The following is a 17,114-nucleotide window of genomic DNA, read 5'->3' as shown; positions in this document are numbered from 1 at the left end:
GACTTCTGTGGCATACTTTTAGTTATAATTCAACGTTAATGGAAATGCTTTTATGTTGCAATTAGGCTAAAAGTGTTGTAGGGTAATTATTAGCCCCAGTGAACATGGGCTTGCTTTTCCTTTGTAATATCTGCACAGGGCCCAGTCTATCATTATGTGATTAAATATGCACATGCACCCATGCACAACACACATGCACGCACACACACACGTGCACATGCCATATGCACACACACACGTGCACATGTCACACACATACACACATGCAGGCATGCACATGTGCACACACACCCACAAGTACGTGCACCTGCCGTCACATGCACACAGGGACACACACGTCTGCACATGTGCACTCAAGGCACACACACGCCTGCACACACATACGCCCTCACAATCACGTGTGCATACACACATGTGCATACATGCATACACACCTGCTCACACAATGCACACCCCTCACACTCCTGTGCATACACACATGTGCATGGGCCTTCCCATCTGGTACTCATAGCCCTTTAAAGCACGGCACACGGCAACCTCCAGAAATATGTGGGCTCAGGGCAGAGCTACAATTTTCTCTGACATTCACACACTCTGAAGGGCATGGAGTGGCACAAGAACGCAGGGTTGTGAATCCTAGGTCAGAGCTCTCTCTATGCACCGCCCACTGTGCTTGGATCCTGGCTGTCAGGTGTGGCTTGGCAGTGTCCTACCAATAGCACCATTCCTTTGAAACGAGAACTCAAAGATCAATGACACGATGGCCTACTTCAGACGTTTCCCTCGGTTAAGGTTTAACTTCCAACAACTGAACTTTGTTCTCTGAGCACCTGGGTGGGTCATTCTGCAGTGTGGGCTTGTCTTTCTTGGGATGACTTCTCCCTGTGTATGTGTCCCAGGCCAGAGCCCTCAGCAGGATCCCAAATCGCAGCCGGAACCAGGCACACGCTAATGACGTTTTGAACTAACACTTAAAAATCTGGAAATTGCCCACAGAATTTCACATTTTTAAGTCCCTTGAAAGCTCAGAGCTCTGGCAACAGTGAGGGGCTAGGAAGCAGCCTCCCCCTCCCTCTGCCCGGGCCGAGGCCTCCAGCCAGCCACGTCCCTCACCACCAAGAACGAAGTGGCAGGCTATGCGCTTCTGCGCAGGCTGCCTCGCACGCTCCCACACGGTACGCCGGACAGCTCTTGGTGAGAAAGATGCGAAGAGACACGTTCAGCAGATCTCAGTTACAGATCATGCAACGCGTCTGACAAGGCGAAAACACAGCCCTGCACGGGGCTCCACAGTGGACAGGACAGCAATGCAGCCAAGTAAGAGGCTGGAGAGATGCTCGCTAGTAAACCCAGGGGAAAAAAGGGGGACATAAGCATAAAATACATTTTACGTAATAGAAATGTTATTTCTATTGCATTTAATAGAAATTAGAAAAACAGAAAAAAATCCAGATTATATGAAAAAGTCCTATCAACACACATTCCTCCACGAAGCTTCATGAAAGAGTTGAGTGCAGAGTGGTAGGAACACAGGCAGCAGGGAGGCGGCTCTCGGCGCACATGCGGAGGGGCCTCCGCCTACCGTGGAGCAGAGACAGGACGGGAAAGCCGGCCAAGGAGGCTGGCAGAGGTTATGACAACAGGTGAATGACAAAGCAGGACTGGAATGGGAGAGCCCAACCCCGAAGACACAAAACCGTCCATGGAGAACTGAAATCATGAGGCCAAGTGAAGAGGGGGTGCAGACCGGAATCCAGGCCGGGGCACCCACCGGATGAGAGGGAGGCAACCAGAGGCCCGCCAAGGAGCCAGGGATCGGCCAGGGATCAGCAGGGTCACACTCCAGATGGCTGAGGGACGAGACAGGAGCGGCTCCTGTGCTTACTCCACCTACCGGAGTGAGAAAGAAGTCCAGGCCTTCTTGGCGCAGGTGCGCACAGGCCAGGCCGGAACCACACGGGAGAAGGAGGGGCCGTCCCCGTGGAGCAGGTCGAGAGAGCCTCCCCAAGGAGGAGGTGTCAAAGTCCGGGGGCAAATAACACCCCAGGCTCTGGGAGGGGCTGGCGCAGATTTCTAAGGAGGGAGGAACTCCAATAGCAGCACTCAGAGCAGAGAGAACGGGGGTGGTTGGAGGGCAGAATGCCTTGTGAGCAAGGAACAAGGACTGGAGGACTGGAATTCTATTCTAAGTACACTGGGGACTCACCACACAATTTTCAGCGGGGGGGCGGGGAGGGTAAAAACCTTATTTACAGTTTAAAAAGCTCAATAACAAATATTTGGAGAATGAATCAGTAGAAGCGGAAGAATGAAGGCGAGGCTACGCTGCCATCCAGGCGGGAGCTGGGCGGTGTGGACCAGGGTGGTGATGATGGGGGAGTGAGCTGGGACATGGTCTCGGGGTACAAGAACAAGTGGTGGATGGCCTGGGAAAGATAACAGGACCCGCCAAGGCGTCGCTCCCGGCCGTGGGGAGGGTGGTGCAGGGCAACTTTCGGTGAGGGAAGCCCTGCGTGTTCCACTCCAGGATGGCAGCACCGAGACTGGCTGGGATCCAGCTGGGGCTCGGCACCCCTGCGCTCAGAGCTGAGTGAGGGGCCAGGAGAGCAGCCTCAGCCAGCACCAAGGAAGCTGGAAGGAAAGCCCCGTACCCAGAGCTCCCACAAGCAGCGGCGGCCAGATCCACAGGAAGAGCCTGCAAAGCACAGCTGCCACCAACGCGGCAGGGGCTGGAGAGAGAACAGACACACAGCAGCTGCCCACCCCCAGCGGCTGCGGGGACCAGGCGGGATGGGCCAGGGAGGGCCTCGTCTAAGGCACCCAGCAGAACACAATGGAGTCCTTAGCCCTGTGGCCAAGAGAACAGCAGGGACCGAGGGCACGGGACCGAGGGCACAGCACCGGGGCAAAGAGGGCTGGCCCAGGTACAGGAGGCCCCGCCGGGCGGGCAGGCTGCTCAGCTGGTCAGCGCAGGACATGCTGAAGGAGGCTCTGCATGGCCCGGTGCCCCCATCCGAGGGGGAGAAACAGGCAGGCCGAGAGAAGTGGGAGGGTGGGAGGAGACGGGCAGACTGACTTCTGAAAGATGTCTGTATATTCAACAAACACCTTTTGGGGAAGAAGCAAGGCACCCGGGCCTTGGGCAAGGGTGACGAGCGCAGGGGCGGAGGCACAGGGGCGGGAGGCAGGAGGCCGGTGGGGAGGTGGGGAGGCTAAACCGGATGCACAGTCCCCTGAGTGAACCCCAAGGACCGGCCAGGAGGCCGTGAGACCCGCCTCACCTGGGGCTCTGGCGTAGCTGGCGACTGCCCCGTTGACCAGGCCAGCGTACAGGCTCTGAGACGTGCAAGCCAGGCTCATGACTGTGGACTTCTCAGGAGTGAAAAAGTGCTGAAGTCTCACTTTCTTGGAGCCTTGACTGCTTTTATAAATGGAAATGCTTTAAGAGAAAAATACAAGCTAATAAATATATTTGCTCGTTGTAACAAGAACGAGGGTGCCTGTTAACATAAACACAAACATTTCAACTCTTCCCTCTTGCCCTTCCTTCTCCATTCCTAGGGACACTTGCCAGTACTTTTAAAAAATTTGCAACCACCTTGATTTCTTTATTTTTAAAAGGGAAATTCTGGGATATATGAAAAAACTTAGTTCTTCCTACTGTGTATCTTGGAACTTCACATCAGGAAAATCATTTTAACTCTCCTTTAAATGGTGTCAGCAATTCAGTATGATCATGACATAGAATATGGCTGTTTTATTCCAAAATATAAGGGGGGAATGTCCTTTTCAAAACCATTAATATAAATGAGACATTTCAGTGGCAAACAGCCAAACTGTCCCCTTTAAAGAAATACCACTTCTCTTTAAGAGTTTCCTAGAATAATTTCCATGGGCCCAATTCACTAGTTATTTCAAAGTGCAATGACCCTAAAAATTTCCCCTGGTATCCCCTAATTCCTGCACGGGCTACTCCTGAGTCAAAGTCAAGGACTCTTTCCAGGACAGGCTCCCCACCACGCCCTCCATGGGCAGAGCTTGCTAATTCTCTGTAACGCAGTGAGCATGCCCTACCTTCCCTCCTCCGTCCCTACACAGATCGTGGGGACATCAGAAGCTCTCACGGCCGGGGTCTCGGGGTCCGGGGGTGCCCCAGGCTCTCTGCGCTTCTCCTCGACGGGAACGTACAGCATGCACAGGATGCGAGATTCCACGTTGAAGCACTCAATGACTTTGGGAGTGGAATTTTGAAACGAGACGATGGCAATCTGACCCATTTGATGGGTGCAACTTCCGATCTGAATCAGAGAATTAGGAGGAAAGAAGAAAACGACCATGTGGCGGCTTCCATAATACGCTGGAACCTGACCCTTAAAGGCCACGACAAGCTTCGATTTTCATGTGAGAATCAACACACTTAAAAAAATAAAAAAAAATTCTTAAACAATTGCTCACAGAGCCCCTTTTTCTTTTCAACACATTTAATTCAGTTTTCAAAAAATTTTAAAGCAAAAGCGTAACTTTCATTTCTACAAAGTCACATTTCTATACTTTAAAAATCACGTACTCATCACAATATGAAGGTAAGGGCCCATCTATCCTCAATTTAAAATCCTAAGAAGCAGATTATTATCAATTTTAATAACTTAACACTAATATTCAATGACCTAGGCTAAGAAAATAAACCTTTCAAATAGGAAAAACATCAGTAAGAATGCATCCCAAGTAGCTCATTGGAAGTCAACATGTGGTATGCTGTGGAATTTCTTTTTTTTTCTTTTTTTTGGAGACAGTCTCACTCTGTCACCCAGGCTGGAGTGCAATGGCATGATCTTGGCTCACTGCAACCTCTGCCTCCTGGGTTCAAGCGATTCTGCCACCTCAGCCTCCTGAGAAACTGGGACTATAGGCTCGTGCCACCACATCCGGCTAATTTTTGCATTCTTAGTAGAGATGGGGTTTCACTATGTGAAAGTACAGACGGGGTTTCACTATGTTTGGCCAGGCTGGTCTCAAACTCCTGACCTTGTGATCCACCCGCCTCGGCCTCCCAAAGTGCTGGGATTACAGGCATGAGCCACCACGCCTGCCGTGGAATTTCTAAAGTAGCATTGCTGCAACAGTGTACATGAACTTCCTGTGTGTTTGAATCTCTACAACGAGAACACATAGCACAGTTAGTTTCCCAATTTAAACTTAAATTTATTTGTCTTTTTTTTTTTAAGTGGGAAGGGGTCTGATCCCTGTAAACAGAAAGCACTAGCTGGTTTAGGGTGATGTTTTCATTGATTCTTTTTCTTTTCCACCAACTTTGAGAATGTTGTTAAACTCTCCTTATTCTTGTATTTGTTGTCGCTACATACAGACATCCTACTTTCATGCTTTTGTGGGAAGGATGCCAATCTGCCAAGCCCCTGTCCTGCCTACAGGGCCTGGGGGCTATGACCAGGCCAGGTGATGAAGCTTCAGCCATGACAGGTCTGCCTACCTGGACGGAAAACAGTTCTCTTAGAAGTGGAAGCCCCCAAGGGAATTAAGGCTACTCCTCCATTCATAGGTTGGTACAAATGAAATACCAGCTAATTGGGTTGTTCAATTTCTGACACTCAACTAGGAACACTGACCAAGCAGGAGCTGTGGATGTGAGAAGTGAGAGGCAGTGGCGTGCTGCACAGGACGCCTGGGAGGAAAGGATGAGAGTTTGGAAAAGCACAGTGGAGCCCTGGAGGGCGAGTCTGAGGCTGCAGGGAGGGAACACAGGAAACCAGAGAGGGGAGAGCCTGGGACCACACAGCTTCAAGAATGTCCTCTGGTTTGCAAGAACCAGGAACGTCTACTGCAATTCCAGCCTAATTTCAGATGCAATATTTCATTTGGAACAAATTAATTTTAACTGCTAAGTTTCCACTGGAAAAAGCCAGTCTTGGAACAAGAAAAAAAATCCATGCAATGTTGACACCAAAATGGAAAAACATATTAAAATTATTCTCTTATTAGTTAGTTGTCTCTGGACTCAACTTTATCTGGTAAATGTTTTAGATGAAAAGGAAAAGAAACAAATATTTGCATTCCTAAGAACTGTAAATCTTTTCCAAAAGTGATCAGCTCCCTTTCAAAGAAGTTTTCATGTTTCTAAGTACACTCTGGGATACGCCACCGCCAACTCTCTACTGAGCAATTCACATCTCAGTCTCTCATCACACCGACCATGAACGTTGATTCTCTGTGAACTTGTACCAAAACCAAATAAACACATCTTACCCACAGGAAACCATGTGCCGTGGAAAATGAATCTGGCTGGCTTTCATTATTTAGGTAAGGTTCAGGGTTATAAGCAGCACATTCAATCTAAAATGGAATAAAATCAAACGCTCACATATAAAACAGAGCTAAGAGGCTCCTAGACTACATAACGTCTTAAATGGATGACTTACTTCCAATGTATAAACACAGAAATTACAGGTTCATTACCTACCAAAGATTAAAATAGGGAGGATGAAAGTTTAAAAGTACAACTCTCAGAAGTTAGCTTTTTAGAAGTGAACACCTAAGGAGATTCAACCTTTGGTATCTTAATCTTTAGATCCCATCAGCACACTGAAATCCGGCAGCTCAGGGCGCTTCAGATGGGAGGGCTGGCCCTGCAGGCATCAAGTACAGCCTGTGATGGCCTGTGCCTCTCCCCTTCCCTGTCCCACCCCAGCCTCTCCCAGAGGAGTCCTGTGCACCGCCTGCAACTCTCAACAGGAGGGGTCAGGGGAGCTGCTGGGAAACCCTGGCCAGAGACCAGGGTGAGAAGAAACATCTTTATTTCTTAAAGAATAAGACATTGTCAGTGTCACTGAAGGCCCTGGCCTGTGATGCCTGAGTCAGCAACACTGGGAACATTAATAAGACGCCACCCTGGAGATGGAGTCTGCCAAGGCAAAGAGCGGGCACGGTACCTCAAGCAGACAGGAGACCTGGAGTTACGATCCACTGTGGAAACAGACTGCTTGCCAAGCAAAGGCAAAACAGAGCTACAAATGTGAAACACGTGTCCCCTCTTTAACTAACAAGGCCTCAGGTGCTGTGGCACTGCTGGAATACCCCAGGGTCCTGGCCCAGGACTGGGCTTCAGAGACAATGGCTGGGCGTTTTTTTAGGTTTCAATCAACAGCAGTCTTATTTCCAGATAAATGACCTCTAGAGAAGCGGTCACTGTGGTGAACCTGGGAGGACCATGTTCTGACCACGCCCCTTAAGAATCATCTCCCAAGTGGCCCATTCAGAGCTGCGAGGTGCGTCCCACCCCGGGCCGCGGGCCCTGCCTCCCTTCACCTTGAACTCCTGCTGCTTGGCCACCATCACGGGCATGTGTCCGACGAGGAGAGGATGCTTCTCCTTTTTAATGTGATTCCCATCGTCTTCCACACAGAACCAGCCCATGTGGTTCTCCTCTTCTGCAATTATATTCAGAGAGAAATGAGCAAGAATGCAGTTAACTCACATGCAAAGACCTGCAGCTCCACAGGTCATAGCAGGGGAAGTTTCTGGCATTCTGTTTGTACAGGGCCAGACAACGCCATGTTTTACTTGTGGAAAGCAGTACAATCTCTTCTTACAGCATAGGCTGTATATTCGTGGCATTATTTTAGAAGGCAGCCTGGCCCCATCTAAGTGGCAGGGACCTCTCCCTGTTTGCGCCTCCTGAATACGCTGGACCCAAAGGCTGCCAAACGTCGCTGTATAAACCACATAGGTCCACTTCCCTTTATCTTTCTCCAGTTTTTCCAAAGCAAAAGAAATGTTTAGATTCAAATACCAGAGATGTACTGAGAAACTTTAAAACATGGTATAATGCTATGGGATAAACAAAAGTACAACAAAATGGAGAAATATTTTACTCCCAAAGCAAACTGTCAACCTGAGCATTAAAGAATATATAGCTGATCTGAAGACGAAAGGGGGCTTATCTGCACGTTCAGCTCATTCTCTTTAGAGAGTGGCCACTTCCTTGTTTGCTAAGTCACTCTGAACCTGACCTGAAAAATGACCAAATTATTCAGCAAGAGAGAGAGGGGCTGTGTTTCTGCTTCCTCATCAAGTGAGCACAAAGTCAGGACGGCTTTCCCGTCCGGGACAAAGCCCTTCCACTAATCAGAGCTCCCCGGGGCAATGGCGTTACCCACGCTCTGCATTTCTCTTCTGTATTTTATACTCCGTTAACATTTCAGATTATCTACAGCAGAAGGAAAATTTTACACACACATGACATCCCAGTGTGTTCTGGGTAACAGGTCTGTAAGCATGTGTATAAGTACATTACACACACACACAGAGCAAAAAATAATCAAGGCTGAAGAGACATAGGAACAAGGAAATCATAAAGTCACATCCATCTACAGTAAAACCACAGGGTTGATCTTTGGTGCTGGGAGGATCTTTAGTAACCCCCCAGCCCAGCCCTGTGTTTTGCTTCTCAGTGAGGGGTGAGCAGAAGGGCCAAGAGGAACAATGACCCCCCTGCCATTTGAAGGCCGCCGCCCGCCGCCCGCCTTGAGCACCTGGCTCACGGCCAGGCTCCACGGGCTTCCTCTGTGTTCAGCTGCCTCAACTGATATTCATGTTCTGGTACCAGAAACACCATCCGTTTTAACCCCTCCATTTTAATATGCGATCCCTCTATTTTAATATGAACATCTAAAAAATCGCCGGTGCCAGGGTGAATTTTCCTGTTTAGAAACACTCTTTCAGGTCAATGCATGGATCTACTGCTGAGTTTCCTTCTCAACCCTGACCTCACCCTCGTGGGCAGGAATTCATCATCACGCCGCATGCCTCATTCAGCCTCAGCCAGCCAGGCCTTACCTAGGGCGAGCTTGGCCATCTGTAAGCTGTTGACCCAGGACTCCTTGATGGCAGGGGTGAACGTATTGAACACAGCTGTAAAGAACGTCGGTCGCCCAGATCTGCCAGAAACAACAGACAAGCATTCATTTTATAAAACGTGCTCCATCCTGTGAGGTTAAATTACACATTTTGCCTGTCTGATAGAATCAGCAAACCAAAAAACATACATGTCATGACAAAGAACCATTTTCTCCCCAGCATTGGCCAAGAAGGTTTCGTTTTAAAGCTACTACTAACTTGTCCTGCTTCCCGGGAAGCTGTAACTGAATTCTGCAGCAGTCCGCAGCTCTGATTTCATCTTCTTTCTTCAAAATAAGCCTTTGTAAACCTGATGTCCAGTCATGGGCTACTGACTGGTTTAAGTTCTACAAAGGAAATAAATACGCACATTTCAAAAGTGTTTAAAAACTAGGGCCATCCCAAGGAAGATAAAAAGACACAATTTTAATATGAGAAATTCAGACCAAATGAAACTATTAGATTATGAAAAAGAAAGCTTTGGGAGTCAGATCACACTGTGGGGGGCTGAGACATTTCTAAGATAGAACTGATATTAAACCCTATTTGCAAAATGAAGAAAAGTTACCATTAAATAGTCTCACCTTATCTAACGTAAGAGAAAATGTACATTCAGATTAATTTTTAAAGTCAAAATGAATTCTCACTTCTGGTAGAACTTGGAGATATAATCACATACTTACAATGACTTATAAGTAAAGGCAGAATCTTAAATCCAATTGCTTCAATTGTTACCTGATAGTTTCCTTTAAGGTTTCCTATCAGCTGAGTGATTTGGCCAATTACATTTAAGTCATGCAACAAGTTTTGTAAATCTTGATACAGTTGTCCTGGCCCCATGTAAACTTTGTCTACAAAATAAGCAAAAAGAAAAAAAAAGAATACAAAGGTAAAGCCATATTTACTCCAATACTTGAGGGAAGAAAAGACTCAAATACTAAATAATTTTTAAGTTGAGGGGTGAATCTAGAACTTTTAAAAAGTGGACATTTTCAAGCATTTAGTGGTTTTTCCTTTTCTAACACTTATTTGGAAATAATTTTAGATGGAAAAGTTGCAAAGAGCTGCCTCCTGAATGCCCAGGCCTGGCTTCCTCAGAGGATAACATCTGACGCAAGCGTATCATGACCGTCAAATCCGGGACACCACAATGACACGGCACTCCTGACTGACCTACAGACCGTCTTCAAACCTCACCGCTTTCACATGAATGTCATTTCCTAGTCCCGGATTCAGCCCAGGGACTCGCACTGCGTTCGGTGGTCACGTCCCTGAAATCTCCTCCAGTCTGGGGGAGTTTCTCAATCTTCCTCTTTCGCGACCCTGACATTTTTGGAGGATGCTGGTGAGTTAAAGAATGTCTCACAATTTGAGTTTGATTCATGTTTTGTCCCTTTTGTATTTTTTAGACACCGTTGACATAACAGCTATTAGTAAGAGGCACTTAGAAATGACATTTAATCTGAACCACATTTCCAATAACTGGGGTCATCTACCATGAAAATGAGTTCCCCAATGATCTTTCCTAAAGTTTTTTTTTTTTTTTAAGGGAATAGAAATGGTTTGTCTTCGATGACTTGGGTTAGAGGAACGACGCGTGTCCCGGGGTCTATTTGCCCAAGTGAGAATTGCTCTACCCCTCACAGAGGGCTTCCTGTGTACTACAGGAAGTAATGTTCAAATACTTCCTCACTAAATCCCACGACGGGCCCACAGGCTCAGAGGACAGATTCCCCCATCTCCCCATCTGACTGATGACAGATGAGAAGGATTTGATCTCAGAATTAGCCTGAGTGTCTGTACTTTAAGCAATATGCAGTAATACGCTCCTTCTTTTCCACTTCTCATAGAAATAAATTGTCTAAGGTCAAAAAACCAGTAAGAGAAGGAGCCAAAATTCAAACCCAAGGAGAAGAAATTCATTTAAGTTGAGTAAAGTGCCTTGTGTTTCAGCAGGACAGGCTTCCCGGCCATGGGTCTGTAGAATCGCACAGACCTGAGCTTACAGGGCCCAGAACTTGGTCTCAGGCTCGGATGTGGACCTCCTGAAATTCTGTTTTTTCTTTTTTCTTTTTTTTTGAGACGAAGTGTCGCTCTTGTCCCCCAGGCTGCAGTGCGATGGCACGATCTCAGCTCACTGCAACCTCTGCCTCCCGGGTTCAAACGATTCTCCTGCCTCAGCCTCCCGAATAAGCTGGGACTACAGTCACCTGCCACCATGCCCAGCTAATTTGTGTATTTTTAGTAGAGGTTTAGTAGAGGGTTCACCATGTTGGCAAGGCTGGTCTCGAACTCCTGACCTCAGGTGATCCACCCGCCTCGGCCTCCCAAGTGCTGGGATTAGAGGCGTGAGCCACCGTGCCTGGCCTGGACATCCTGAAATTCTTAATAATTTTGAGGAAAGGACTCTGCATTTTCCTTCTATGCTACGTCCCACAAATTATGCAGCTTGTTCTTTTAGTGTATATAACAGATATAATACATATATATGTCAAAACTGAAAGAACCTACATATTTCCAATAAAAAGATTTCAGATATAGGTATCTAAAAATATTTACTATATAACTGAGGAGTAGCATAACCATTTATAATTTTGCAGGCACTTTATGTTGAAGACATGATTACATGGTATTTATGAACATGGTAAGCCTGATTTGTATCAACTATCTAGACAAATGCAATTACTAACTGCATTTGAAGTATCATGAAGTTTCGTAACAAAGGGAGCGGCCAGGCATAGTGGCTCACTCCTGTAATCCCAGTGCTTTGGGAGACCAAGGCAGGAGGATCACCTGAGGTCGAGAGTTCGAGGCCAGCCTGATCAACATGGAGAAACCCCGTCTCTACTAAAAATACAAAATTAGCTGGGCATGATGGTGCATGCTGTAATCCCACCTACTCGGGAGGCTGAGGCAGGAGAATTGCTTGAAGCTGGAAGGCGGAGGAGGTCATGGTGAGCCAAGATCATGCCATTGCACTCCAGCCTGGGCAACAAGAGCTAAACTCCATCAAAACAAACAAACAAAAAAAAACGAAAGAGCAAACTGATCCAGTAGTTACACATCGCAACTTTATTTATCCTTACAGAATGCTTATAATTTAAAATGTTTCATAACACACATATTTGCTTTCATTCGCAAACTTTGATGATAAACTCTATAAACACAACCTTGTAACACAAGTATAGGCTGGTTGTGGTAACTGATGCCTATAATGTCAGCACTTTGGGAGCACAAGGTGAGAGGACTGCTAAAGGCCAAGAATTCAAGACCAGCCTGGGCAACATAGTTTTAAAAACCAAAAACATAGAGTTTAAAAAAAAAATTAGCCAGGCATTGTGATGCGCGCCTGTAGTCCCAAATACTTGGGAGGCTGAAGTAGGAAGATCGCTCGAGCCAAGGAAGTCAAGGCTGCAGTGAGCTATAATTGTGCCACTGCACTCCAGCCTGGGCATCCAAACAAGGCCTTGTATCAAAATTAATAAATAAATGAGTAAATAAAATTATAAGTGCAATGTTAACTTTATTAATTAGTTGACTTCTTTTAAAATATGATCTTCACAATTATCATCCAATCAAATTGACCCTTCTATTTTTGGTGTGCGGCTCTATATATTTTCACACATGTATAAATGCACGTGAACATCTCCGCAGTAAGCCTGAGGGAGAACTCCAGGGCACACAGAACAGCTCCATCACCCACAGAACAGCTCCATCACCCACAGAACAGCTCCATCACCCACAGAACAGCTCCATCACCCACGGAACAGCTCCATCACCCATAGAACAGCTCCATCATCCACAGAACAGCTCCATCACTGACAGAACAGCTCATCACCCACAGAACAGCTCCATCACCCATAGAACAGCTCCATCACCCATAGAACAGCTCCATCATCCACAGAACAGCTCCATCACTGACAGAACAGCTCATCACCCACAGAGCAGCTCCATCATCCACAGCACAGCTCCATCACTGACAGAACAGCTCATCACCCACAGAACAGCTCCATCACCCACAGAACAGCTCCATCACCCATAGAACAGCTCCATCACTGACAGAACAGTTTATCACCCACAGAACAGCTCCATCACTGACAGAACAGCTCCATCACCCACAAAACAGCTCATCACCCATAGAACAGCTCCATCACTGACAGAACAGCTCATCACCCACAGAACAGCTCTGTCACTTGACAGAACAGTTTATCACCCACAGAACAGCTCCATCATCCACAGAACAGCTCATCACCCATAGAACAGCTCCATCACTCGACAGAACAGTTTATCACCCACAGAATAGCTCCATCACCCACGGAACAGCTCCATCACTGGACAGAACAGCTCCATCACCCATGGAACAGCTCCATCACCCATGGAACAGCTCCATCACCCAAGGAACAGCTCCATCATCCATGGAACAGCTCCATCACCCAGAGAACAGCTTCATCACTTGACAGAACAGTTTATTACCCACAGAACAGCTCCATCACTGACAGAACAGCTCCATTACCCATAAAACAACTCATCACCCACAGAACAGCTCATCACCCACAGAACAGCTCCATCACTCGACAGAACAGCTCCATCACCCACGGAGCAGCTCCATCACCCACGGAACAGCTCCATCACCCAGAGAACAGCTCCATCACCCACGGAACAGCTCCATCACCCATGGAACAGCTCCATCACCCATAGAACAGCTCCATCACCCACGGAAGAGCTCCATCACCCCTGGAACAGCTCTATCACTCTACAGAACAGCTCCATCACCCACAGAACAGCTCCATATCCACAGAACACCTCCATCACCCACAGAACAGCTCCATCACCCACAGAACAGCTCCGTCACCCACAGAACAGCTCCATCACTGACAGAACAACTCCATCACTCACAGAACACCTCCGTCACTTTACAGAATAGCTCCATCACCCACAAAGCAGCTCCATCATCCACATAACAGCTCTATCACCCACAGAACAGCTCCATCACCCACAGAGGCAGCTCTATCACCCATAGAACATGTGGGATAGGTCACAGGGATTCACAGGTGCACAGATTTCAGTTCATTGGGAGGAATAGGTTCAAGACGTCTAATGTAGTTAATAAGGTATTGTATACTTGAAAATCACTAAGAGTAGACTTTAAGGTTCTCACCATGAACAAATGGTAAGTGTGTGAAGGAAGGCATAAGCTACTTAGCTTGATTTAGCCATTCCACAATGTATACATATTTCAAAACATCATGTTTTAAACCATACATGTATATGATTATTTGTCAACTAAAAACATAAACATTTTTAAAATAACACACACACACACACACACACACACACACACACACACACACACAGCCATCAAATGTGAACCTATCATGGGAAGGGAGAATACTCTTTCCCTAGTGTATTAAAGAACCTTCTGAACTGAGATGAGGAGGAGTTCCTCGACCTTACGGACCATGGAAATGTGCTGACGTTTTATGTCTGCCGGATCATCAGACAGTTCATAATAGGGCACCTCAGGGCACAGATGACACCACAGAGCAACCTGAGGCTTCCTCATGAATGGGGACAATGTGCGCTGCCAAAGAAAGCGTCTGCACTCACATCCCAAGAATAACAAGAAACCACACAGTGCGGCCAGTGCTTTTCAAATGTGATTCTCAGTTTCAGAAAAACTGTTTCATGTTGATTTTCAGGCCAAAATTGATTAAAGAAACCCCTGCAGTTCAGGCGCGGTGGCTCACGCCTATAATCCCAGCACTTTGGGAGGCCAAGGTAGGTGGATCACCTGAGGTCAGGAGTTCGAGACCAGCCTGGCCAACATGGTGAAACCTCATCCCTACTAAAAATACAAAAAAAAAAAAAATTAGCCAGGCATGGTGGTACACACTCTGAGTAGTTCCAGCTACTCAGAGAGGCTGAGGCAGGAGAATCACCTGAACCCAGGAGGTGGAGGTTGCAGTGAGCCAAGATCACGCCATTGCACTCCAGCCTGGGCAACAGAGGGAGACTCCATCTCAAAAAAAAGAAAAGAAAAGAAAAGAAAAAGAAAGAAACACCTGCAAATCAGAATTTTTGTTAGAGTTGACTTCCAGCCCTCTAGCTGACAGTTTCTAGAGTTTTCAGTTCTGTGAGCGAAGTTCTTTGTCGCTGCAGTGACACACAATTGCTGCACTTCCGCAAAAGCACTTCCCGAGTCTTTCTCACGGACGCTTCTCTTGTTTCCATGGAAATCCCTGCAATCTGTTTGAAAATTCAGGGTCTGTCAGTGAAACAGAATTTGTGCGGCAAACAAGGAAGGGTTTGTGTGGCCAGATCAATAGCAAGGACGGCTGGAAAAGCCCCTGGGGGTGTGCTCGGTCCCTGAGAACCTCCATGCCTGGGTTCAAGGGGCACCCTCACAGCATCTTAAAGCCTCTCCTCCACGATGTGAGACCGAGACGTCAGAGCCAGAAGGCGTTAAAAATTTTTAACTTAAATTAAGGCAAATGTACAAAACTGTTTTTCACAAATCAAATCATAAAAGTTTCATTGTGTCATCAAAGTCAGACATAGCCAGTAGAAATGGAAACTGGGGAAAACTTCCTGGAAAGCAACTTGCAAACATGCATCAGGAGTCTAAAAGAGGATACAAATGTTCTACTCTTTGACCTGAAAATTCCACTTCTAAGGAAATTATCAGACTAATGTGTAAGGATGTCTCCACGTCACTGTTCGTAGTGGTCTAGTAACTGAAGAAGCTTGCAGTATGCAATAAACTCAGTTTCAATCATGAGGAACGTCCTGTAGTCAGTTTAAATGACTTCGATTCAGAATTTTTAAAGACTGAGAAAATGGTCAGCCTATAATATTAAATGAAAATTCCCTATACAGGATCACATAGAGAACTGTGGTATACGGACAATGGTGTGAGGAAAAGGCTGGAGAGAAATCACTCATGTGTTAATACAGTCTCCAGATACAAGAATTACAGGTCATTCTTACTGTCTTTAAACGTTTTAGTGTTTTCAACAGAGAACAAGAATTAATTCCCAGGAGAAAGAGGGTAATTTTTAAACAGCATCATATATAAGTCCCTAGTCTGATAAGAGGCACAAATTGAATTTCTCTATAAGCAAGTAGTTTTCTAACATGGAAAGTATAGAGAAATCTTGGTTATGAACCAGTAGTGATCCCAGCTATATTCAGGCAAAATAAATCCTATGTGGTTCTGGACACGTTACGGCAGCTCCTCCCAGCGCAAGGCCTAGGAGACTCCCAGGTGCAAAGCTGAAACCACAGCACTGAACAGAGAAGAACAATAAGAATTCTCCCCCGTGACTAAAATCCAGTTTGGTTTTTAACAAAACCCAAGCATTTTATAACGTGAACATCACACTGTCACGAAGATACATGTCATGTCTCAAATTCCAGATATTTAATCAAGTAAAACCATCCCTATAGCTTCATGGGGTTCAAAAACCCAGAACATAATATTAATTTGCTCAACACCTAACTTGTATGTGTCCATGTGTAGTAGGACACACGTGTGTGATTCCCACAGAGATAGGACCCCGTCCACAGGCCCTCCTGCATGCGCACCTTTCCGTGGCTGGCCGTCTGCACTTAGGACACAGAGAGAGGACCCTGTCCACAGGCCGTCCTGCGTGTGCACCTTTCCGTGGGCTGGCCGTCCACACTTAGGGACATGTGCCAGCTGCACTTTCCTGAGGGAGTCTTCTCCACGAGACTTATGGGAATGACTGGCATGTGACACACAGGCATGGCACTCATCTGGCCCATCCCCATGGCTGAGGAGCTATGATAGCTTTCCTGAGACGCTGGCTGTCAGGTCCTGGACAGGGCCGTGACCCTGAATAGAAGGTTTCTGGAATGTCAACTTGACTGACAGTCATAGCTCCAGGGATGCATCGGCGTCTAAGTTCACAGGTCAGCTATACAGGCCGTTAGGAATGAGAATGAGTATTTTGGCATCAGCAGATCACGTGGACTAGTGTGCATGTCATATTTAGAAAATATGGGTATCCCTCTTTGCATGGAACCACTTCTCCCTGCCTCCTGTTGAGCTCCTAAAGACAGAGAGTTTGAAGGGTGTGTTACTGAATACCCAGAAAATTCACACCAGTGTTTGTCCCTGAGGTAACGGGAGATATAAACAGACACAGTGACGGAGAAGGCGGCAGCCACCTGCATGGAGAACA

The 17,114-nt window shown here is 46.7% G+C and overlaps 1 protein-coding gene across 22 annotated transcripts in view, besides 2 other annotated features; it reads right to left on the bottom strand.

The window, feature by feature from the left end:
• Nucleotides 1-17,114, bottom strand: part of ARHGEF10 (Rho guanine nucleotide exchange factor 10) — a 135,313-nt gene that overhangs the window by 25,917 nt on the left and 92,282 nt on the right. For all 22 annotated transcript variants that reach the window (XM_047422452.1, XM_047422450.1, XM_047422454.1 and 19 more), the window contains 7 exons: nucleotides 9,646-9,761; nucleotides 9,130-9,257; nucleotides 8,851-8,951; nucleotides 7,321-7,442; nucleotides 6,262-6,348; nucleotides 4,075-4,298; nucleotides 3,282-3,439 (listed from right to left, as the gene is read on the bottom strand). In XM_047422452.1, coding sequence (XP_047278408.1) covers nucleotides 3,282-3,439; nucleotides 4,075-4,298; nucleotides 6,262-6,348; nucleotides 7,321-7,442; nucleotides 8,851-8,951; nucleotides 9,130-9,257; nucleotides 9,646-9,761 — 936 coding nt within the window. The remainder of the gene's footprint in view (nucleotides 1-3,281; nucleotides 3,440-4,074; nucleotides 4,299-6,261; nucleotides 6,349-7,320; nucleotides 7,443-8,850; nucleotides 8,952-9,129; nucleotides 9,258-9,645; nucleotides 9,762-17,114) is intronic.
• Nucleotides 9,322-10,521: an enhancer, noted in NCBI's record as "CDK7 strongly-dependent group 2 enhancer chr8:1870370-1871569 (GRCh37/hg19 assembly coordinates)". NCBI's record gives its function as "activates an origin of replication core promoter dependent on BRD2, BRD4, P300/CBP, MED14 and CDK7 cofactors, with strong dependence on CDK7, by STARR-seq in HCT116 cells {active_cell/tissue: HCT116}" and the evidence as "EXISTENCE:reporter gene assay evidence [ECO:0000049][PMID:35650434]".
• Nucleotides 16,203-16,702: an enhancer, noted in NCBI's record as "H3K27ac hESC enhancer chr8:1864189-1864688 (GRCh37/hg19 assembly coordinates)". NCBI's record gives its function as "activates a minimal SCP1, AML or CMV promoter by ChIP-STARR-seq in naive H9 embryonic stem cells {active_cell/tissue: H9 hESC(naive)}" and the evidence as "EXISTENCE:reporter gene assay evidence [ECO:0000049][PMID:30033119]".

The sequence above is a fragment of the Homo sapiens genome, chromosome 8, assembly GCF_000001405.40.
Source record: "Homo sapiens chromosome 8, GRCh38.p14 Primary Assembly".
NCBI lineage: Eukaryota > Metazoa > Chordata > Mammalia > Primates > Hominidae > Homo > Homo sapiens.
This window is presented reverse-complemented; position numbering and strand designations above follow the sequence as displayed.